We start from the raw sequence: 23,995 nt of genomic DNA on the forward strand, positions 1-23,995 counted from the left end.
TGGCAGCACTGTAGGTTTGTTTACACCAGTATCACCATAAACACTTGAGTAATGCCTGGTGCTGTGATGTTACAACAGCTCCAGCATCATTAGGCAATGGGAATTATTCAGCTTCATTAATTTTATGGGACCACTGTTGTACATGTGGTCCATTGTTGACTGAAACATTGCTATGTGGTACATGACTACATATGAATGTAGAGGAAGGGAGAAGTCAAAAAACTGAGCCCTGGGCATTCCAGCACATAGCGGTGTGGGAGAGAGGAAATCACCAACAATGGAGACTGAGATTGTGCACTGCCAAGAAGCAGAGGAATCCCTGCCCTTACTGGGGAGTTCAAAAACAGGTTGGCATTGGAACCTAAATCTATTCTCAGTGGCTCCAAAAGAGTAGCAGCTAGTGAAACAAGGGAAAACCATGGGATTATAGCGTGCTAGAAACCAAATGAAAAAAAGCATTTCCACGAAGGCAGACTGACCACCTGTGTGAAGAGCTACTACAAGCCTGAACATAATGGTTTCAGGAAAGAATGGGCAGGGAAGAATAGGAGACGGTAAACCTAGAGGAGTCTTTTGAAGAGTTTTGCTGCAAAAGAAATGGGGTAGTTGATGATGGGAGAAAAGGAGTAAAGAGTTTTGTTTTTAGCTGGAAAAACAAAGCATATTTATATGTTGATGGGTGTGATCCAGTAAAATGGGAAAATTGGTGTTAACAGAAGAGGGATGAAAATTACTGGGCAGGCAAGACGGGGTGTGCTTTACTGCACAAGTGGAAGGCTGGCTTTAACTAGAAACATGGACGTTTCATCATCCATTGTAACAGGAGGGGATATTGACTGAAAAGTGGTGGAAGTTTGTGGAAGATCTTTGATTGTTGCTAATTTTCAGTGAAATGCTAAGCAAGTACATTAGCTAAGATTAAGAATGGGGGAGGAAATACTGATGATTCAAAAAGAAAAAAGAAAGTAGGAAATAGTTATTTAAGAAAGTAGGGAAGTGAATGGACTAGAGAAATGTCATATGTTAGCCAGTCAGCCTTAATGTTAGCCAGTCAGCAGCCTTAATGGCCTACCTGAAGTAAGTGGTCATGTGTTTGAAGTGAGATCAGTTCAATTATATTCAGGCAGAATGTGGGATTTAACCAGGGTAGGTTGTTTTATCTAGGGCAAACGTTGAGGAGAGTGAAGTGAGCATACATAATTGAGTGAGAGAAAGAGGAGTTGATGGTGTGTGTGTGTGTGTGTGTGTGTGTGCAAAGTCTTACAGGACCTGGTGGGTTTGTAGGATTATTGGTATTTGGGCACTAGAGGAAGTGAATCATTTGGTTGGATATTGAAATCATCAAAAATTGCCACAGGACTAATGTTGGAGATGGTAATAGTGAACCAAGAACTAAAATCTTCAAGGATTGAGGGAGAATGAGTAGATGTTCATTGATGACTGCAGCGTGGAGGAAAGTGGATGGTGTGGTGTGATGATATGAGATTCAAAGCTGGTTGTATTCAGGGCGATGGCAGGAACAGAACTGTAACAAGGAACAAGGAGAACCACCTCACTCACAGGCCCAGTTCCATTTCCTAAACAGACGAATTTGTATTCCCTGTAACTCATTAGCCCCTAGTCTTCTGAATCCTTTTCTAAGAGAGTAAGTAAAATAAATGAAAGCATTAAGATACATTAATAATTTTTATTTTACAAATATTTGAGTTAGTGATTCTGCAGAGTTTTATTAATAATTCAAAAAACTGACTTTAACCTGTCACTTCAAAATAGGTTAAATAGTGCAGCTGAGTTACGCCTCAAAAGTTTTTAACTTGTTTTGGAAAGAAAATTGTGTTGTATGTCCAACAAACCTATATATGATTGTTTATTGTGTATTGATGTACATACCAGAGACTGTTTTTGTATATTTACTGGGCGCTTAATAAATTATTTGCCTAATATTTAGTTATCTCTCCTTTTTCTTCTAGATTACATACCGGTTACGGCACCTCCTTCGTGCAAGGTGTGATGCATCCCCAGTGACCAACAACACCATCCAATTTCACTGTGATCCTAGTTTCTGGGCTCAAAATATCATCAACTTAGGTGGGCCATTACCATTACATACATTTCTCAGTGGCATTTGTCTGTAAAACTCAATGATTATGACATGTTACTGAAAATATGTTCACTTAGGCTGGGCACGGTGGCTCACATCTGTAATCCTAGCACTTTGGGATCTCTCAAGGATCACTTGAGCCCAGGAGTTCAAGACCAGCCTGAGCAACATAGGGAGAGCCCATTTCCACATAAGATTTCTAAGTTAGCTAAGGGTAGTGGCACATGCCTGTAGTCCCAGCTACTTGGAAGGCTGATGCTGGAGGATCGAAGAAAATATGTTCTCTCACTTTGAAAACGTTTTCATTATTTTGTTTTAAAAAGACATGTTGTTTCTAATAGTATTTCATTAACGTATGTATATGGTAACAAATATACATGAATATAAACACACATACATGTATAGCTGATAAGAAAACATTCTATAACATTGACTGACAGGGTGTCTAGACTTAGGGATTTAGGTGTCCTGTCCTGTCCTATTCCCTTAACCCCCCAAATCTGGTTTGTTCTCTTAGCTCTAAATTTATCAGAATGGGTTAACTTGACTTGTCATTGATAAAGGATTTTTGATATCCTGAAAGTTTTATTTTAAACTACTATATTTTTATTGGCTTATCTTTACAACTATTCAATAGGAACTTAATGGTTCAATCCTTTATCTTGCTTAGGGAAGACTTTTAGTTTTCTTCTTTTGCCTGATCAGGTAATAGTTATATAGATATCTTACTAATTGAAGTAAAACATACATACTGACAAGTACCCAGATCTTAAGCAATCAAGTACTGCATAATGATATCTCAATCAGTTAACTGCATCTATGACTTATAAATACAGTTTTTTTTTTTACTTTATCTTTCGTATGTTTAGATACACAGATACTTACCATCGTTTACAGTTGCCTACAGTATTGTCCAGATAATTCAGTACAATTGCATGCTATACCGGTTTGTAGCCTAGACTCTACCTAGCAATAAGCTATGCCATATAACCTAGGTGTGTAGTAGGCTATACAGTGTAGGTTTACATAAGTAAACTGATGTTTGTCTAAAGATAAAATTACCTAAATGACACATTTATCAGAACATATCCCCATCCTTTAGCAACACATAACTGTATTAGAACTCACTGAATTATCACAAAAAGAGACTGTCATTTTGGTAACATTAGGAAGAAAAGTATCCTTGCAAGCAGTTCAGCAGAAAGTTACTACTTTAGCTTCTTTATTGTACTATTTGCTGAGTAGAAACACCTTTTTGCCTTCTTTCTTAATTTCTCACAGGGAAACTATACAAACAAATTTAAGAATTCCCTACACATTGTCTGTTTATCAACAAACAATATTATCTTTGATGATTTTGGTGGGGGGTTGGGGGGTGCTCGTTGAATTTGTTTCAGAGTCATCAAAGATGGTTTCTTATCCCCAACACTAGATTCTGGGTAAGAAAAGAAAATGGCTGGAGAAAGAGCCCATACTCACCAGGAAAGGAGGAAATAGGCAATCTAACCCATAAGGGAAGAACAAAAAGAATCCCGGAAGCAAAGGTGATAAGGAGACCCCTGCAGACTAGTTTAGATACAGACATATGTATATTGATACATAGCAGGAAACTGGAATTATTACACACTCATTTTACCAAAAAGCATCTTTAGAATACAGAACATGTGTATAAGTAACTTATTGCCACACCTGACTCTACCACCACACATTCATCTGAACTCTGAACCCATCACAAGATATAAATCCAAACAAGTGGTCATATGTGCTATGTACTTATATCACAATAGGTAAATACACCCACATATAGACATAAGTACATTTAAGAATTATATTTAAAACTGTACACACATAAATGGATATAGTTTCAGATAAATCTAGTTTAGCCAAAACAAAAACAGGATCTCCTAGTCTAATAGTTTGTGAAACCGACATAATGAAGTTAATATATTTTACTGTAGGATTTCTTAGAGCTGTCATTTACAGCACTGTAAATTCATATACAATGAGATTTGCATTGTAAATCTCTAAAGAAGGAGACAAGTTTCCTAAACTTGTTACCCATGGCTTCTGAGAAACATATAAAAGCGCTAGGGGAAAATATTGATCTAGATGAATATTTTGTTACTGTCTTGAGTGACTTTAGATAAGTTTTACAACCTCTCTAAACCTTAGATCCCTTATGTGTAAAAGAGAATGTTATTGTTTCTTCTAAACATACACATATACCTTCTTGTCATAGTGAATTACACACAGTAAACATTTAATGAATAACTGTATATTTTTAGAATGCATATGATTGGTAAATCATAAACATTTAAGTTTCTACTGTTGAAATCAAGCTTGATTCAGGCCTTTCAAGGGCACCGTTAAACTCTTAAAACTAGTTTTAAGCCAGTCAATGTATTCTGTATCAAAAAGTTAACATAGTATGCATTGTAAAGGTATAGGAAACTTGAGAGATCACAACTTGTTAATAGTAAAGATTCAGAAATACTTTTTGGGATTGTTTTTAGAGCCAATGTTAGGTTCGCTTGTTTTGATATATGACAGCAGTTCTCAAAGTATAGTCTGGTACTCTTTCAGGGGACCACAAAGGCCACCCTTTTCCAGCTACACGTCTGGATGAGTGTTGTGCCAGACCTCTGTTGACTTCAGTAGGGATAGGACCATGTTTGAGAGGCCCAAGAAGAGACCTGGAGCCAGTGAATGAGACACAGGGCTTATTTAGGGAACTTACATACAGGACAGTCCAGTGGAAGTGGGCTGGACAGGAGAACCACCAGCAAGTAGTTTATATAGCACTTAGCACCCTCCCGCTAGCAACCTCCATGTGGCAACCTTCATTTAACACAAAGCAAAAGGCATCCATCCCCAATATGGCCTGGATTCCACAGGCTGAGCTGGGGGTTCAGATATTCTTCATTGATAAAGAATGATAATCTCCGGGTTGGCCACTCCTAGGTTCCTTAACGCAGAACTCCAAACACACATTCTTCTTAGGCCATACAGGGTCACTCACAGGGTACACTTAAGTTATTGCTGTCAGGTGCTGTCTGCCATACAGTGAGACTGAAATTTTTTTCATATATTTTAACTTAACAATATATTATGATAGATAGTGCAGAAACAGATAATGTGATTTCAGCTATTAAGCCAGACATTCAAACAGATTTTTTAAAACATCAAACAGTATTTTAAAATATCAAAAAATGTTTACCAAATATTTTACAATATAGTTTTATAAAAGCATGTTGTTATGGTTTTATTCTTAAATGAATTAGAAAGTTTTAAAAATTATTCTTAATTTCTAATATTATAAATGTTGATGACTAGAAGTTAGATGAACAAAAGCTGTTTGGGGGTTCTCTTTCAGAGTGTTAAAGGGCTCATGAGATCAGAGAATTTCTTGGCAATTTTGAAGTTCTGCAAAAATAGCTTTAGAAAATGTGATATTTCACCAACTATCTGAAAAACTGTTTCCCTTAACCTTTTCTTTTTAATTAGGTTCTTTAGTAATCGAGGATAAAGAGAGCCAGCCACAAATGCCTAAGCAGAATCCTGTCGTGGAACAGAATTCACAGCCACCAAGTGGTTTATCATCAAACCAGTTATCCAAGTTCCCAACACAGATCAGCCTAGCTCAATTACGGCTCCAGCATATGCAGCAACAGGTAATGGCTCAGAGGCAACAGGTGCAACGGAGGCCAGCACCTGTGGGTTTACCAAACCCTAGAATGCAGGGGCCCATCCAGCAACCTTCCATCTCTCATCAGGTAAATTTGGAAGCAGGCCTGTCCTCACTTAGATAATTATAGTATAATTGTGTTTAGCAGCTCAAAATAACAAAGACATCCATTTTCCATACTCTAAATATCTGCATTTATAAAAATTTATCACATTAAGGATCCCTGATTTAATGCCTAGTTTTTAATCCCTACTTAAAAAGGATTTAATGGTTTATTGAGTTGATAAATCTATTTTCATCTACCCTTCATTGTCTTTAAATTATAGTGAAGGATAAATGTTTGTATTCCTAAATAACCCAGGCCTGTGATTGATGGGAAAAGTTGTGTGCCTATAATTCCTATATTGGTGCTTCAGAATGATGAATACATTAAGAATCTGCCCTCTTTGAGGATGCAGTGTTCAGTAAACCACATTGCATCTTAGAAATTAAGGCAGAGTGAAATAGAAAAGGGCAGAAGTGTGATTCATTATAATCTACCTTTTTCAAACTTTATTTCTGAGCAAATATACTGTCTACCGTTCTTATTTTTACTATAATCCAATTTTTTTTTTTTTTTTTTGAGATGGAGTCTCACTCTGTCACTCAGGCTGGAGTGCAATGACACGATCTCAGCTCACTACAACCTCTGCCTCCCGGGTTCAAGCGATTCTCCCACCTCAGCCTCCCAAGTAGCTAGGACTATAGGCATGTGCCACCACACCCGGCTAATTTTTTGTATTTTTAGTAGAGATGGGGTTTCACCTTGTTAGCCAGGATGGTCTCGATCTCCTGACCTTGTGATCCACCCACCTCAGCCTCCCAAAGTGCTGGGATTACAGGCATGACCCACTGTGCCCAGCCCCTAATTTTATTTTTTAAGTTGCTTCCCCTGTCACAGGATTCTTAGACACTAACTCAATCAACCATAACAGTTTAGGAGGGGGGCGGAAATCACCTTACATCTTACCAGACCATAAGCATCTTCATGGCATGGTCGACATCTTACATACCGTAGCACATTACACTGGCATTAAGTGTCATTTTTTTGGTTGTCAATATGTAAACATTAGTCTGGATGAAGGTGGCAAAAGACTTCTATGACTACCTTTATTCTCCCTTAAGGACCATTTTGGGCTAAGAAAAATTATCCCTTAGATAAATTTAAAAGCTTTTCCATGTAATTTCCTAAGTATGTTCTGCTTGTATTTCTATGATATAAAACCCTTCAATTCATAAAATTTTCATAGAAAAATAAAAACATTGCTATGGCTTTTAGGTTTATACTTTTTTAAAGTTTCGAGATTTTCTTATTTTTCTCTAATATTATTTTTCTACTCTTTACCTACAGAATTTCACTTGCTTAGAATCAGCTTCTAAATGTATTTTTCACTGGGTCTGTAATTGCTGGCCACTCTTGAAAGTTAATGAGAGGTAAACCCAGTGCCAACTAATTTTTAAGAGAGAAGCAGTTGACCCAGGTGAGGATAGTAAATTCCAAAAATAGGAAGAATAAAAATAATAAAGAGGATAGGACTGTACTTTATAGCTGTCTGCCTTCACAGTGTCAAAGTTTCAGGTGTTGCTGCTTCAACCTTAAAAGATTATTTATTTGTCCCCTGTGAATGTAGGGGGAAATAGGCTCCTCTTTGAGAAGTTGTGATCATACAGTTAAGATATACTAAAAAGAATATTTATTTTGCAATACATTCCCAACTGTAGAGAATCAGTCAAGAGGAGACTGGCATATAAGGTTACCTTTTTCTTCTAGGACTGGTCTCAATTTCCAGGGCTAGTATTTATGAGCCCACAGAGCAGGCTTGCTTTCTAGCCTTTGCCTTGTTGCAGGAATCAGAGGACCAGAGAGACCAATGGATGGAACAGGAGGATTTTATTTAAGTGGCCACTGGCCCAACAGATTCACATCCAAAGGCTAGGTCCCAAACAAAGACAGGGCTTGACTTTTATACACACTTCTGAAAGGGTGTTGGCTAATTTAAATGGCACAAAACTCGTGGTACAGGCAAGGAGGCTTACAGAGGCAGAACAAAGGCAGTTTGAATCAAACAGTGACAGATTTTGTAATCCTTAGCATAGCTTGTGACCTTGCAGCTGCATTGAAAGAAAAGCAGGAGCTTATAAAACCTGGAAATTGAGTAATGGTAAGGGGCATGAGGAGATAGTAAAGGAATTTGTTTTTCTTAACTTTGCTCTGAGTGGGTGTTGGGAGAGTCTCTGGAGCTCCTTCCTTTGGGCTCTGGCTTTCCAGATAGTGTTTTCAAGGCTTTGTCAGGGCCCTGCCTATTGCTGGCCTTGGAGTGAGTCAGCTAAGTACAGGAAAACTTGTTTTCCTCTTTTTAATTTCGGCTTCATTCCCCCCTTTGATGCTCCCTGTAAATGAAGTTTAATGGAAAGCATCTCTATCACTTAATTCTTCATGAAAAGGCAGGTTTCTTCCTTTGACAAAGGTTGATATTTAGTTAGAGCCATTAGCTGAGTGGTAGTTTGCCTGGTTACAAGAGTCTCTATGGCCGATTGGATGTTTTTAACAAGGAGGGGTAAGAGACAAGGGAGTATTAAGCAACCTCCTAGTATGGCCAGGACTATTCCTATTAAGGTTTTAAATCCTCTGAGGGATGAAAACCAGCCCCCGAAGAGGGTATCTGGAGACCATCCTTTCTAAGTCTGGGCTGGAACATGGGCTAATTTTTGGATTTTTGCAGTTATATCTTCAATGACCTTTCCATTGTCATCAATTTCTAGGCAGCAATTAGTTACATTGAACTTTCTGCATACCCCACCTTCCTGGGCTATGAGACTAGTCTAAAGCCAGTCTATTTTGAGAAATAGCATTTCTCGTTTTTGTGGCTTGTTAGGCCAGTAGATTTAAGGCCCTTGCAGCGACATTAGTCATGATTTCAAGCACTGCCTATAACGTTATGATGCAGTTGAGCATGTAAATAGAGGTACAGTATCCATACATTCCATCTTCCGCCCAGGTGGCTGACCCATAATATTGGATTATTCTCTCAGGGGGCCATTCATCATCTTTCTAATTCCTATGGTTATGCCCCTTTTATTTCTCCTTTTTGTTTCATCATAAACAGGGTATCCTAAGGCTTCTCCTTGCCTTAGAGGGATTAGGCAGAAGGATGGTCTGATTGTCCCTAGTACACAGGCCTCTGGCAGCTGCCCATATGCCCATGACCCACAGATCCAGTAGAGGCCAGAGGGTGCCTGCCAGGCATTTGGAGTTTCAAGCTGGTACCAAGAGTGATGTAAAGAGGGGAAACAGGAGAATGGACTAGGGTGGGGTGATTTGGAATTATTTATCCTGCCCCACCATAAAGTCTTTCCTGTTGTTTCATTGTAATATTGCTGTCCTAGGCAAGTTAATTCTATCCTACCCAGTTGGTAAAGGCCTTTCCCCAGCGAACAATGCAGAATCTCCCGATAATAGAGATTTTTTAAGGGCCAGACGCTCAAGCTTGTGAATGTTGGTTCAGGGGAGAGGACAGTCAGAGTAAAGTTACCTTGGGGCATTAGCTCCTTTGCTTCCTACTGCCATTGATCCCCTATGATGGTTCCTCCACATGCATAGCATGAGGAGACATGTAGGCTACTGACTATGTTTTCAGCCAGTTGGGCAAACAGGTTGCTGGCCAAGGGAGAGGATTCAGGCAACTCCTGGTGGATGTGCTCATAGAATGACTCAAAAACTCGGAACTGTTGGGTTGAATCGGTCCAGGTTTTCTTTATAATATACAGACTGACTTCTGAGTTTACTTTTTGACCTTTGACTTTGAACCCCAGTGTCCTGGGATAGCCTGTAGTCCATATGGGCAGACCTGGCTCTAAGATGGTGAGATGTGCAGGATAGCAAATGCTAGGTTTATGAGTTGGTTTTTCCAGTAGTTTCATATGTATGACTTGCCTTGGTGGTTGTTGATAAGTGGACCAAGTCATGCAGCTCCAGCGGGCTATTAACGGGGACCTAGAGGAACAAACGGGGCACACATTTTTGCTTGGAACAAGTACCATAGTGCCCTGTGGGGCCAATGATAATGGACCACTACAGGATTGCTACCTCCTGGCAAACATTGAAGTATAAGGATATGACCTCCCCATAAGGGGAAGAGGCTTTGATTTGGTTTGGAAGATCCCCTTCCTTAGTATGAACTTCAAACCAAGTCTCAATAGGTGGGGACTTAGGGTCCTAACATATGTAGGGCTGGCTATTTCCTGGGTCACAGATTGAATAGGTTACCTGGTTATGAGCACAAGTTCCTAAGTGGCTCCCTGCGCACTCATAATAAATATAGTACAGCAGAGTCCTAGTTATGGTGCTCCCCGACCGCGTAGTATGTATGCAGTGGGGGCACCCTTCTATGAGTCCATTTTCTGACACTGGTATGAGGAGTGCCATGATGGGGATGAGTAGCAACAAAGTAAAGAGTAGCATGTTTATACCCAGCAGGGACAAAAGAGGTCTTTGCCCCCAGGAGGAGGTTGGATAAAGAGACAGGATAATAGTAAAACAATTAGTATTATAAGGAAAGCTATTGGACCTAAGAATTCTAACCACATTTACTTCCCTGATGGTGCTCACGCTTCAGCCGTGCATAGACTAGTCAGCTTCTGGGGTGACTAGAGCCGGGCTGTTGTCTCCTCAAGCTTCAGCCGTGCATAGACTGGTCAGCTTCCAGGGTGACCAGAGCAAGGCTGTTGACTTCACTGGCAACCTGGTCCCACCGTAGGATCAGCTGGGTCAGATGGTCTGGGTCCTGTTGGCTGGTCCACTTGTCTTGGGCTGCTGGTTTCAGCTGACTGTGGTGGATCCAAGGCACAGTTCCTGCAACTTTAACAGCAGTGGGAGTGGACAAGATTACAGTATGGGGCCCATCCTATATGGGTCCTAAAGTGGTTGGGTTCCATTTCTTAACCTAAACAGAGTCCCCAGGTCTAAAAGGGTGTGATGGGTCTGTTAGGCTTATGGGCATTCTTTCCTGTACCCAGCCATGGATTCTTTGCATGGCTTATCCCTAAAGCCTGCATTTGCCTTCTTAAGGTTAATTCCCCTAGTTCATGGAGGTCACCTTTAATTTGACCTATGATTGGGGATGGCCAACCGAACAAGATCTCATAGGGCAAATAGCCAGTTTGTTTGGTGGGGGTGCACCTGACTCAGAGGAGGACCATGGGCAGGACTTGATCCCATCTCAGATGAGTTTTTTGCCAATATTTCTTCAGTAGCTGTATAAGTGTCCAATTCATGTGTTCCACTTTTCCTGAACTCTGTGGCTTATAGGCTATGTGTAACTTCCATTTTATTTTTAACAGCCTTGCTAGATCTTGAGCTATTTCGGCTACAAATGCTGGACCATTGTCTGACCCTGGAGTCAAGGGCAGTCCAAATCTGGTGATAATGTCTCTTAACAATACTTTAGTCACTTCTCATGCTTTCTCTGTTCTGGTGGAGAAAGTCTCGACCCATCCTGAAAAGGTGCAGACAAGCACTAACATGTACGGATAGCCTCTGGCTCGGGGCAGCTCAGTGAAGTCCATTAGTAGGTTTTTACAGGGTGTGGCTCCTATTTACTGTATTCCTGGGGCCGAGTGGGCCCTTGCCGTGGGTTGTTCTGGGCACAAATTAGATATTGTTTGCAAACGGCTCGGGTGATGGCAGTGAGCCACAGCACATAGAAATGGTGTCCAAGTAGTCTTTCTAGTGCCGTTTTCCTTATTATATGAGTTCCTTGATGGAATTGTCTTACAAATTTGGGGGTCACTATTTCAGGGATGGCTAGCCTCTCATCAGAGAATTTCCACCATCGTTCTTCAATGTAATGTCCAGTCTGTTTGGCACACCAGGCCCTTTCATTTGGAGAGTAATTTGGGACCTCTGGGAGGAGAGGCAAAGCTAGGGCTTCCTTTTTACAATGCGGGGTAGTCATTCCTGCCTGTTTTGCCTCCATGTCTGCTTTTCTGTTTCCTTTGGCCTCTAGTGTTCCTGCCTTTTGATGCCTTTGCAGTGCATAACAGCCACTTTCTTTGGGGCCTATACAGCATCTAAGAGCTGTAGGAGTTCTTCCTCGTACTTTATTTCTTTGCCCCCAGCAGTTAAGGGTCCTCTTTCCTTATATATAGCTCCATGAACATGCAATGTGGCAAAGGCATATTTGGAGTCAGTATAAACATTGACTTTTTTTGTCTTTTGCTAGCAAAAGGGCTCTTGTCAGGGCTATTAGGTCTGCTTTTTGGGCTGATGTTCTGTGGGCAGAAACTGAGCCTCTACCACTGAGTCCAATGTTACTACTGCATACCCAGCCTGCCGGACCCCTTCCAATACAAAATTGCTTCCATCTGTAAAGTATTCAACATCTGGGTCCTTGAGGGGTTGGTGTGTAAGATCTTTCTGGCTTGAGGATACCTCGCCTACTCCATCTACACGGCAATGAAGGGGGCCTCCTGGTTCCAAATCAGTTGGGAGCAAGGTAGCCAGGTTTAGGGTATTTATGTGAGGATTTTTGCATAGGAGCCCTTGGTATTGAGTCATTCTTAGGTTTGATAATCAAGGATGCCATCTCTGATCCATTAAAGTTATAACCGAGTGCAGTACCTGGATGGTCAGTTGCTGCCCTAGAGTCAGTTGGTCAGCTTCCTGTGCTAATAGGGCTGTGGCAGCTAGTGCTTTGAGGCACAGAGGCCATCCTAGTGCCACAGAATCCAGTTGCTTGGATAATTATGCTACCGGGCCATGCCATGATCCTATGACCTGAATTAGGACCCCTATAGCAATTCCTTTTCACTCATGGACATATAGAAAGAAAGGCTTAGTTAGATCTGGCAATCCTACGGCTGGGGCCTGAGTTAGGGCTTCTTTGATCTGCTTAAATGCCTTCTCCTGGTCAGCCTCCCACAGGAGGGGCTCCTTTTCTCCCCTCTTTTGTGGCTTCATATAATGGCTTGGCCATAAATGAGAAATTTGGGATCCAGATACAGCAGAACCCTGCTGCCCCTAGGAATTCTCTTATTTGTCGCTGGGTGTTTGGAGTGGGGAGTGCACAAACAGCCTTCTTTCGCTCACTGCCAAGCCATTGTTCCCCTTGACTTACTTCAAAGCCTAAATATTGGACTCTCCTGGAGCAGATTTGAGCCTTCTTCCTGGACACCTTATACAGGAGATGGAGGAGGTCTTGGGTTCCTTGAAAGCAGTCTTCTTGGGTTGGGGCTGCCAAAAAAAGGTCATCTATATATTGCAGCAAGGTGCAGTTGTCATTTGGCGGGGTGTAGGCCTTGAGGTTTAAAGATTGTGGGAGATTTTTTGAATCCTTGTGGGAGTCTTGTCCAGGTGAACTGCGACTCGCCCCATTTGCGACTCTCAAAATGGGCTAATTGGTGCCAGGTGAAGACAGAAGAATGCATCTTTCAGGTCTAGGCAAGTAAACCAGGCAGCACTTGCTGGAATAAGTCCCATCAAAGTATATGGGTTTGGTACTATCGGGTGGATGTTTACTGTAGTGTGGTTCACAGCACACAAGTCCTGCACTGGCCTGTATTCTCCAGATGGCTTCTGTACTGGCAGGAGTGGGATGTTCCAGGGTGACTGGAATTTGACTACAAACATGATTCCATGTTAGTAGAGTCGCTCACTCTAAGTGTTTGTGAACACCTCATATGGCTTCCGGGAAAACCAGGTACTGGCAAACTAAACTGGGGTTGCCCCTGGTTTTAGCTCTACTACCACTGGCATCTAATCTTTAGCCAGCCCGGGTGGGTTATCTTCAGCCCATACTCCAGGAATTTTATTAAGTAGCCTCTATAATTCAAGTATTCCTGGTTTGTGAGACAGTTCTGGTGGCTTTTTTGTGTATAGCCTCCATTCCTCAGTTTGCAGGACGGTAAGGGTTAACACCATGGCCTTTGGGTCAGTCAGGTTTAGAGTCATATCCCCTTGTAGCCCAAAAGCAATCTGTGCTTGCAGTTTTCAGAGTAGGTCTCTCCCCAGCAGGGGAACTGGGCAATTTGGGAGGTACAGGAATTCATGTTGGACCTCTTGTCCTCCTATAACGAACCTCCTTGGCCAACAAAGTGGCCTCTTCTCTGAGACCCTGGTGACCCCTACAATAGTTGTATAGTTTTTGGATAGTGGTCCTATGGATCGGGTTACTACCAGCTATTCAGCCCCATTGTCCACCATAAAGTCCATTAGCTGGCCCCCCACTTCTAATGTGACCATGGGCTCCTGGGGGCCTAAGGAGAAGGAGCCTGGTCTGTCCTTGTCCTTATATTCTTCAGTCCCTGCCACCCCGATCAGGTCGGTATCTGGTTCCTTCAGGGTGCAGCAGCCTTTGACTGGTGGCATTTTTGTTTCATAGCCTCCGCCATTTTCTTCACTGCCCTCTGGACACTGATTTTTTCCAGTGTCCCTTTTAGCATCATGCACATTGGTGCTTATCTAACCTCAGCCGGCTTTTGAGCCTCTGTCTGGTTTGGCCCCATCTCCGTCTGTGCCCGTGTCCACATCCGCACCCTCTTGCAATGCTAGTTTCCCTTACCGTAAGGGTCACTGCTAACATATTGGCCTTTTTCCTAAGCCTCCGATCTGCTTCCTTTTTTGCCTCTTGGTCACGGTTAATATACATCTTGGTGGCCACTCCTATAAGTTGGGTGGCATTCATGCCTGCGAAATTTTTTAGCTTTTGCATCTTCCACCTGATGTCACCCTGGGCTTGTCCTGCAAATGCCGTGTTCACTGTGCACTGATTTTCAGAGGCCTCAGGGTCAAACGGAGTGTAAAGCTGGAATGCCTCACAGAGTCTCTCATAAAACTGGCTAGGGCTCTCATCAGCTCCTTGAAGAACTTCTGAGATATTTCCTATATTGATTGCCTTTTTCCTGCCTTCCTTTAGCCCTTGCAAGAGTGCTTCTCGGTACCTCTGTAGGTACTGTAATTGGACTGCATGATTTGAATCCCAGTGGGGGTCTGCTTCTGGAAACTGGCCCTGAGTGTATGCCTGAACGTTAAGTGTGCCTTCAGGTGCACTGGCTTCTAGGCAGCAGAGAGCTGCCTGGATTACCCTCCAGCACTCCTCAGTGTTAAACAGTGTCAAGAGGAGCTGCCTACAGTCTGGCCACGTAGGATTGTGTGTCTGGAAGATGGATTGCATTAAATCTATGAGGGCCTGGGTCTTCTCCATGTAGGAGGGGGTATGGTGTTTCCAGTTTAGGAGATCAGTGGTTGTAAAAGGCTGGTAGATGAAGTTCCGTTGCCCCCCTTGGACTTGACCCTGTTCATCATAATAGATGGGTCCCCGTGTCTCCCTAAGAGGCATTTGCATAGCCCAAGCATGACCAGATTGGAGGCAGCCCACTTGATCATCTTATCTTTCTTCCCTGACCTCCTGGGGCTCCGATCTTTCCTTTTGGGGTGAGTCTTGGAGCATGTTACCATCTGAATCTGACTCCTTGGGGGCCGTTGGCCTCAGTAAATGGGGGTAGATTGGAATATATGGAAGAGGAATTTCTATCTCCTCTGGCAGTTCCTGCAAAACTGGTTTCTCTTGCCCTTCCCATGACTTTTTCTTTGTCTCCGTATTTGCCAGCAAAGCTGATTTTACTTTCACTTTAGGCTCGGTCTGAGCCACAAGCATTTTGCAGTAAGCTGCCAGGCAGGGCTGCAACCATGCAGGTCAAGTTTGAACTACATTTAGCCATGAGTCAATATAAGGGAATTGGTCTGGGTGCCCTGGCTGTCCTTCGACCCCAATCACCACCTTAAATACATGGCCAATTGTTTCCCTATCTGTGGTTCCTTTGGCTGGCCATCCGACACTAAAAGAGGGCCATTCTATTTCACAGAGTTCTCAACCTCTGAGGGGTCAACTTCATCCCGTAATCCCCTGCATAACCTTTCTTAAAATTCTTTAACATACATTGTAATGGGGTGGGTTTTGACGACTTCCCTCTCATTTCCTCCCAGTTACAGCGCAACACACTCACTCTCACTTTCACTTCGGACCGATTAGACCGTCCCCCTCGCAGGAGTATTTCAGATGCCACTTAGCATTGGAGGCTCTGTTTTGACCCCCACAATTACTAAATTGTGGGGCACCTCCCTAAGCCATATGTGGAACACTGTTAGTCCCGGTCAGTCCCATGGTTCTCTCAGAGTGTATGGTCTACGCTAAGAGAACTGCGGCCCCCACACATCACTCCCCGCATTGGTTCCTCCTGGAACCGCCTCTTTCACATGCACTCACACACTTCCCCGCTCCCAGTTCCTCTTTCTCAACTGACTCTGCAAGCCACTCTCATGTCCTGGGTTGGTTGGGGTGTGAGCTTGTGAGCTTCCCTGACTTTGCAAGCCACTCTCACGTCCTGTGTTTGACCACTAGTTACACCCCGGGAGGTGATCAGGCTCCCCTTCCATTCTTATGGGACAGGTCCTGCCTCGGGCTCAAACCTTACCACAATCCTGTAGTGCACTGTTCCTGGAATCATCCTGTTCCTGCTTAGGTTCCATTGTGCTGTCAGGTAGGGTCAAGGGAGAGCTGATCACCCCTCTGGGTTGAAGTTCTCCCAGTGGCGCCTGGGGTCACAGGTCTCTCCCGGCCTGGGGCTCCAGTCTCACAGGCGAAGAGACAGTAAACCTTTCGTCTCCAATCCCGGGCGAGCCCCCAGAAAATGTTTCAGGAATCAGAGGACTGGAGAGACCAATAGGTAGAAGAGGAGGATTTTATTTAAGTGGCCACTGGCCCAACGGATTCACATCCAAAGGCTAGGCCCTGAACAAAGACAGGGCTTGACTTTTATACACACTTCTGAAAGGGGGTTGGCTAGTTTAAATGGCGTGGTGGGAATCTAATGGCATGAAATTCATGGTGTAGGCAAGCAGGCTTACAGAAGCAGAACAAAGGCAGTTAATCAGTGACAGGTTTCATAATCCTTAGCATAGCTTGTGACCTTGCAGCTGCATTGAAGGAAAAACAGGAACTTACAAAACTTGGAAATTGAGTAATGGTAAGGGGGATGAGGAGATAGTAAAGGAATTTGATTTGCTTAAGCTTGCTCTGAGGGGGTGTTGGGAGAGTCTCTGGAGCTCCTTCCTTTGGGCTCTGGCTTTCCAGATAGTTTTATCAAAGCTTTGCCAGGGCCCTGCATATTGCTGGCCTTGGAGTGAGTCAGCTAAGTACAGGGAAACTTGTTTTTCTCTTTTTTATTTCTGCTTCAGCCTCATTTGTGATTCCTTCACCCAGCCTTCCTGTAATCAACCAGGGTTGTTCTTGGAGACTTTGCTTTGAAAATATGTTTTCTGGCCAGGCACAGTGGCTCAAGCCTGTAATCCCAGGACTTTGGGAGGCTGAGGTGGGCTGATCACTTGAGGTCAGGAGTTCGAAACCAGCCTGACCAACATGGCAAAACCCCATCTCTACTAAAAATACAAAAATTAGCCAGGTGTGGTGGGGCATTCCTGTAATTCCAGCCACTTGGGAGGCTGAGGCAGGAGAATCACTTGAACCCAGGAGGCAGAGGTTGCAGTGAGCCAAGATCGGAACAAGACTCCATCTCAAAAAACAAACAAACAAACAAACAAAAAACAGAAAATGTTTTCTTCTATGGAGACTCATCCTCTAAGTTGTAATTACTCAGTATCTTAACAGCCAGCTAAGCACCCGAACATGTTTTGGTAATGATATGGCAGACTAGATTTGGATTAAAGCCTTGGTGTGCTGCTTGGTGTTAGCTGTGTGACTTTTTTCAAATTATGTTTTCAAACTTTTAGTTTCCTAATTTGCAAAACAAAGGTAATAATACCTACTTCATAAGACTCAATAACATAATAATATGTAAAATGCCTGCCAGGGCTCAATAAGATCTAAAACTTACTAAGTGTTACTAATATCAACTATTTTCATTATTAACGATTTGTTCATTTTGAGTACACCCACTGAGCCAGATTACTTGTTCAAATCCCAGCTCCATGCCTTATTGTCTTTGTTAATCTTGAGCAAGTTACTAAATTTTCTGTGCTTTATTTTAGCTTTCTTATCTATAAAATAGAAATAATCTGTGCTTTATAATAATATTGCTAAGAATAAATTAGTGAATACATGTGAAGCATTTAAAGCAGTACCTGGCATTTAATAACTGCTCAATAAGTGTTAGCAGTTATTATTCTACCATCACTTTATTTTTAGGAGGTTTCAAAAGGGTAGTTCTTTGTGAAAGATAATTGTGAAGGACTTAGAAGGATACCAAAGACACATTTTATTTACTTCCCAACATGGCCTAGGTCCAATTCTGGTACAATCTACTTACAAAATCTAGGTGGCAATCCCTCTCCCAAGGTTCTTTCCTAGTAAGGTTCTTTTAAAAAAGTTGTTTACACAAATTCTGAAAGTCTGCCCATCCCCCACCCCTCATTCCCTTATGTAAATCTTAATAATTGATTGATCTGTGGCAGAGTTCTATTTTTCTGTAAAAGTTTTATAAGATAGAGATTTATAATTTGTTTTTCAGAAGAAGATTGTTACTAAATTGGTTTAATTTCTTTTTTCTAGCAACCGCCTCCACGTTTGATAAACTTTCAGAATCACAGCCCCAAACCCAATGGACCAGTTCTTCCTCCTCATCCTCAACAACTGAGATATCCACCAAACCAGAACATACCACGACAAGCAATAAAGCCAAACCCCCTACAGATGGCTTTCTTGGCTCAACAAGCCATAAAACAGGTATATATCTACCTTCTTTTCTCAATTGCTTTTTCTGCTGCTTTCTACTTTCAAATCACAAAGAATTTACAGATTAAGCAACAGGTTATAAAGAGCCAAGAGCAAGCCTTCTTTTTCATTTTTTAAATAAATGTGAATTGCAAAGTTTGATGCTTTTTATCAGTAAGAGAAATTAAACCACTTATGTAGAAGTGATGGCCCAATATAATCAATGACCATAGGTATTAATTTTTATAATATGGTATGGATAACTTTTAGGTGAGTATATTAAATTTCCTAAGATAAAAGTATTCTAACAAATACAAGTTACATTCCACAAAATAGAACAATAAATGAATCTTTGAAGCGTCTCAAGAAGATTTCTTGGAAACAAAATTATGGCACAGTTTCAAGAGGGAATACATATATATCTGATGAAGTTTAATATTTAATTCATATTTAATATGATACAGCTTATTTATTTTTATTTTTTTATTTTTTTTGAGACAGAGTCTCTCTCTGTTGCCTAGGCTGGAGTGCAGTGGCGCAATCTGGGCTAACTGCAAACTCTGCCTCCTGGGTTCACACCATTTCTCCTGCCTCAGCCTCCTGAGTAGCTGAGACTACAGGTACTCGCCACCACGCCCAGCTAATTTTTTTTGTATTTTTAGTAGAGACTGGGTTTCACCGTGTTAGCCAGGATGGTCTCAATCTCCTAAACTCGTAAGCCACCGTACCTGGCCTCCTTTTTTTTTTTTTTTTTTTTTTTTTTTTTTAAAGTCTCTCTCTGTCACTCAGGCTAGAGTACAGTGGCATGATCTCAGCTCACTGCAACCTCTGCCTTCCGGGTTCAAGCAATTTTCCTGCCTCAGCCTCCAGAGTAGCTGGGATTACAGGCGCCCACTACCATGCCTGGCTAATTTTTGTATTTTTAGTAGAGACAGGGTTTCACCATGTTGGCCAGGCTAGTCTCGAACTCCTGGCCTCAAGTGATATGCCCGCCTCAGCCTCCCAAAGTGCTGGGATTACAGGTGTGGGCCACCATACCCGGCTGTATTATTTATATACTTAGTGTCTTCAGGTAAAAATATTTTCTGTGTTTTACATTATCTTAAAGTTATCACAGTGTTTTTTCTTCTCAAAGCTCCTATGACAACAGCCTGTCTAGCTGATTGTAGACTGATTTTGGTTTCTCCAAGACCAAAATAAAGATGATGCAATTTTCATAATTCTATAACATCCATTTTAATAAAATCATTTTAATATTTTATTCTAAAAGTATGTACACTCTGTGTCTATACATATCTTCGTATAATCAATTTGCCTTTGCTATATCATCACCAAATTCTCTTAAACAATATTTTAATTATTTAAAATAAAATTCATACCTATTATTTCATCATTAGAAGGAAAGTAAAAAGGACCCAAGCTTCAGTTTGGCCTTAAATTCTACTTATTTTCCTAATAATTTTGTGGCACTTACGTAGTCTTTTCGCATCTCCCTTGCCTCAGCTATAAAATGCGTATCTTGCAGAGTTATGTTGAGAGTTTATTCTAATGTATATACAAGCACCTAGCACATGCTCAGTATTCAAATGTTTACCTCTTCCCTATTTATTGTATTTTAATGAGTAGATACTCTAAGCATGTTTTTTTAAAATGGTTGTTGACCAAAAATGTAAACATGAATGAATAAGTAAAGGAACAAGCCAGGAAAAAATCTACTGGGAAATTGCTTTTAAGTAGTAGATGAGTTTAACAAATTAGAGTATACTCATACAGTGGAATACTTTTCAGATATTAAGAAAATGCAGTAATCTAGATATGATTTTCTGAGTACGTGAGGAAAAGCATGTTATAGAATTTTTGTGAGGTGTTATCTCATTTGTATGTGTGTTTTCCTCCAGCCTCATCATGTACATAGAAAAAAACCTGAAACGATCCACCAACTGATTGTTCTTGGTAGAGGAGGAGGAAAGGGGGCATAGAGGTGGGGAATATGAGGGAGGAGTAGGTGGTAAAGAAGACATTCATGTCCAACTTCATATGTTTCTGTATGTAGTTTCTACAATGGAATATATAAATTAGGTTTTTCAAAATTGGAATGTTTCAGACATTTTATATAGTGCTGTTCATTTGTGAATGACCATGTTTGGAAAATACGGCATCTTGCAGTACACTTAGTTACTTTCCTTCTTCCAGCATGAAAATTTTCAAACATAATAAAAATTGAAAGAATTATATAGGGAACATTTTGTTCTACTTGCCTTATTACATGTTTATCTATTCCTTTGTCCATTCATCAAGTCATCCTTTTTTTTTTTTTTTTTGAGGCAGAATCTCTCTCTCTGTAGCCCAGGCTGGAGTGCACTGGTGCAATCTTGGCTCACTGCAACCTCTGCCTCCTGGGTTCCAGTGATTCTCCTGCCACAGCCTCCCAAGTAGCTGGGATTACAGGTGCCCACCACCACGCCCGGTTAATTTTTGTGTTTTAGTAGAGATGGAGTTTCACCATGTTGGCCAGGGTGGTCTTGAACTCTTGACCTCAAGTTATCCACCCACCTTGGGCTCCCAAAGTGCTGCGATTACAGGCATGAGCCACCATGCCCAGCCCATCATGTTTTTCAATAGGTTTTGAGTAAATTCCAGACAGCAGCATGCTTCACCTCTATATACTTCAGCATGCCTATCATCATCTTAATGTGTTTATCTCAGCAGGAATGATAGTACTTTCCTCAGATATTTATCGAGGCCTAATTATCTGTTCATATATGAGAAGAGGAATATAAAATCCTGAAAGTACCAGTCTGTAGCTTAGTATTTTCAAGTATTTCAGATAGGGATAGAAGAAATGTATGTTTTCAACCCTCCATCTTTACCTTGAAGTTGCTATGTATATATTTACATTTTTTTTCCAATATGTATAAACCTGCCAAGATTGGGTACTGTGATTTTCTGGTATATACTAACTGTTGTCTTCCAGTAAAAATCAGTGCTTTTTACTGTTTTGGTTTTTTTTTTTTTTTGACAAGATTAATGAAAATTATATATACTTGTGCAGTCTTTTGCTGTCCCATTCTCCTTCCATGTAAATTACAGTTGAACTCTTCTACTTCATTTTGTGTGAGTGATTACATAGATGTTGTATTTTATAAGCTTGTTGATAGCCTTTGTTCTTCTCTTCTTGTTACTGTAGTGGCAGATCAGCAGTGGACAGGGAACCCCATCAACTACCAACAGCACATCCTCTACTCCTTCCAGCCCCACGATTACTAGTGCAGCAGGATATGATGGAAAGGCTTTTGGTTCACCTATGATCGATTTGAGCTCACCAGTGGGAGGGTCTTATAATCTTCCCTCTCTTCCGGATGTAAGTAGACACAAAATTTATACTAGCCTCTGTTGAAAACTGTTGGCCGGGTGCAGTGGCTCACTCCTGTAATCCCAGCACTTTGGGAGGCTGAGGCAGACAGATTACTTGAGGTCAGGAGTTCGAGACTAGCCTGGCCAACATGGTGAAACCCCGTCTCTACCAAAAAATACAAAAATTAACCAGGCATGATAGCACACGCCTGTAATCCCAGCTACTTGGGAGGCGGAGGCTGTGGTGAGCTGAGATCATGCCACTGCACTCTAGCCTAACAGAGCGAGACCCTGTCTCAACAAAGAAAGAAAATTGTTAGTGAATTTGGATCTGGTAGAAGGCATGAATTTGTTGGATTATAGGTTGTTTGTTTTTACAAGTTAATTTTAATCCTTTAGAATATTACAACAGTAGTAAAAATAAAAAGATTATGAACATTGGACACATAATCTAATGTCTTTCAAGCCACCGGAGTTAAAGGTGTTTGTAAATGAGTGATTATGGTGATGGATCATGGAATCTAAGCTGGGAAAGGAGAAAAGTAAGGACATGGAAAGATATGCTGGGACGTTGAATGGCTGGACATCAGAAGAGATGAAGACAAGTTTAATAATAGAAATCCTGTTAGATCATACTGACAAGTGCAAAATTACCTCTGGTTTATACTACATGTAAATTAACTCACTCTCCAAACTCTTTGTCAGTATGACTTTTTGTTATTTATTATATTTTTAAATGATTTTTATTTTTAATAGAGATGGGGGAGACGCCCTATGTTACCCAGGCTGGTCTTGAACTCCTGGGCTGAAGGGATCCTCCTGCCTTGGCCTCCTAAAGTGCTGGGATTACAGGCATGAGCCACTACACCCAGCCAGTATGACTATTCCAAAGGCAGAAAGTCTGCATTCTGTAGACAGATCTCCATATATAAGTTGATTCTGTGTTTGATCCTTTTTTTAATCTAAAGTTAGATAACCTACTGTCGTGCACATATACATACGCACCTAATGTTAAGAAGCTTTTAGGAAATATCTTGTACTCTTTACTTGGATCAAATTACCTATAAGATTGTGAAAATAACTTTTTTATTTTCATTATTTGTTTTTCAAGTTGAGATCAATTAATATTTCCTAATAGTTGCATTGTTAATCTTACCAGAGTCATTCCATTTTTAAAATAGTTTTGTATACTTTAAATGAGTAGAATACATATATTTTCTCATGCATGGATGGTTCATAGGAAAACTTACATCTAATCCCCATAGTTTTATTTGGCTTTTAGGATTATCCCACAAAGTAAACAACTTTCCTTGTATTAAGTTCTCATGAATTTAGTCATTCTAGTACTTTTTGTACTCTTTGAAAAATATTGGCCAAGTATTGCCAAAAGAATATTAAAACAAAAATGACCCTGTATATTAACCACCTGGCCCGATTTCCCTGCCCCCGAACCCACAGAAAGTAAAATTCTTTCTGCTTTTTCCTCTGCAGTCCTCATACAGGTGAACCTTTTTCCACCAGGCTTTCTTACCTGAAATTCCTCTTAGGAATTACAGAATAAGCTGAAATGAGTGACTGTTTTCTCATTCCTCCCAAAGGTGCTTCATAACTAGTACCATTCTAGGTGCATAAGCAAGAAATTGATTCATTATATACAAACTGTGCCCTATGGCTGTAGGACTTAATTATCTTATAGAATCCTGGTTGAACAAGAGTAGAACTATGTTAAAGAATTGAACTGGATTTTAAGCCCAAAGACATTGGTGGGAAATTTGGTATATGTAGGCATGAAAGAATTTTTGTGTCTAAAGTATTAAACTCTTACTCATTAGGGATTTGTAAATATTTTTGCCTGGCAATGAATAAGGAAAAGAAGTGTTATTTGTATTCCTGTTATATTAAAGCAAGAATCTTTAGGGTTCACCTTTTCTCCTACAAAACAACAGTAATGTATTCAGTGAGGTTAGTGCTGTAGATATATGGACTTCGTCTATTTAGCACATACCCAGAGTATCAGTTGTTAAAGTATCCCTTTCAGAGGATCCACTAGGTCCTATCTATCTGTGTGAGGCTAGATTTTCTTCATATTTT

At 41.0% G+C, this 23,995-nt stretch overlaps 1 protein-coding gene and 1 long non-coding RNA gene across 4 annotated transcripts in view; one reads left to right on the forward strand and one right to left on the reverse strand.

The window, feature by feature from the left end:
• The window catches only part of TRIM24 (tripartite motif containing 24), a 129,738-nt gene that overhangs the window by 88,834 nt on the left and 16,909 nt on the right, over window positions 1-23,995 (forward strand). For 2 of the 3 annotated variants that reach the window (NM_015905.3, XM_024446981.2), the window contains exons 8-11: window positions 1,971-2,088; window positions 5,606-5,874; window positions 18,389-18,562; window positions 21,738-21,911. In NM_015905.3, the coding sequence (NP_056989.2) occupies window positions 1,971-2,088; window positions 5,606-5,874; window positions 18,389-18,562; window positions 21,738-21,911 (735 nt within the window). The remainder of the gene's footprint in view (window positions 1-1,970; window positions 2,089-5,605; window positions 5,875-18,388; window positions 18,563-21,737; window positions 21,912-23,995) is intronic. The other variant, NM_003852.4, reaches the window with a different exon arrangement.
• LOC124901755 (uncharacterized) lies at window positions 7,698-16,611 on the reverse strand. Its single transcript, XR_007060556.1, has 2 exons — window positions 16,296-16,611; window positions 7,698-10,683 (listed from the first exon to the last, which is right to left on the reverse strand). It is a non-coding gene; the product is annotated as an uncharacterized LOC124901755 (long non-coding RNA).

The sequence above is a fragment of the Homo sapiens genome, chromosome 7 (genome assembly GCF_000001405.40).
Source record: "Homo sapiens chromosome 7, GRCh38.p14 Primary Assembly".
Taxonomy (NCBI): Eukaryota; Metazoa; Chordata; class Mammalia; order Primates; family Hominidae; genus Homo; species Homo sapiens.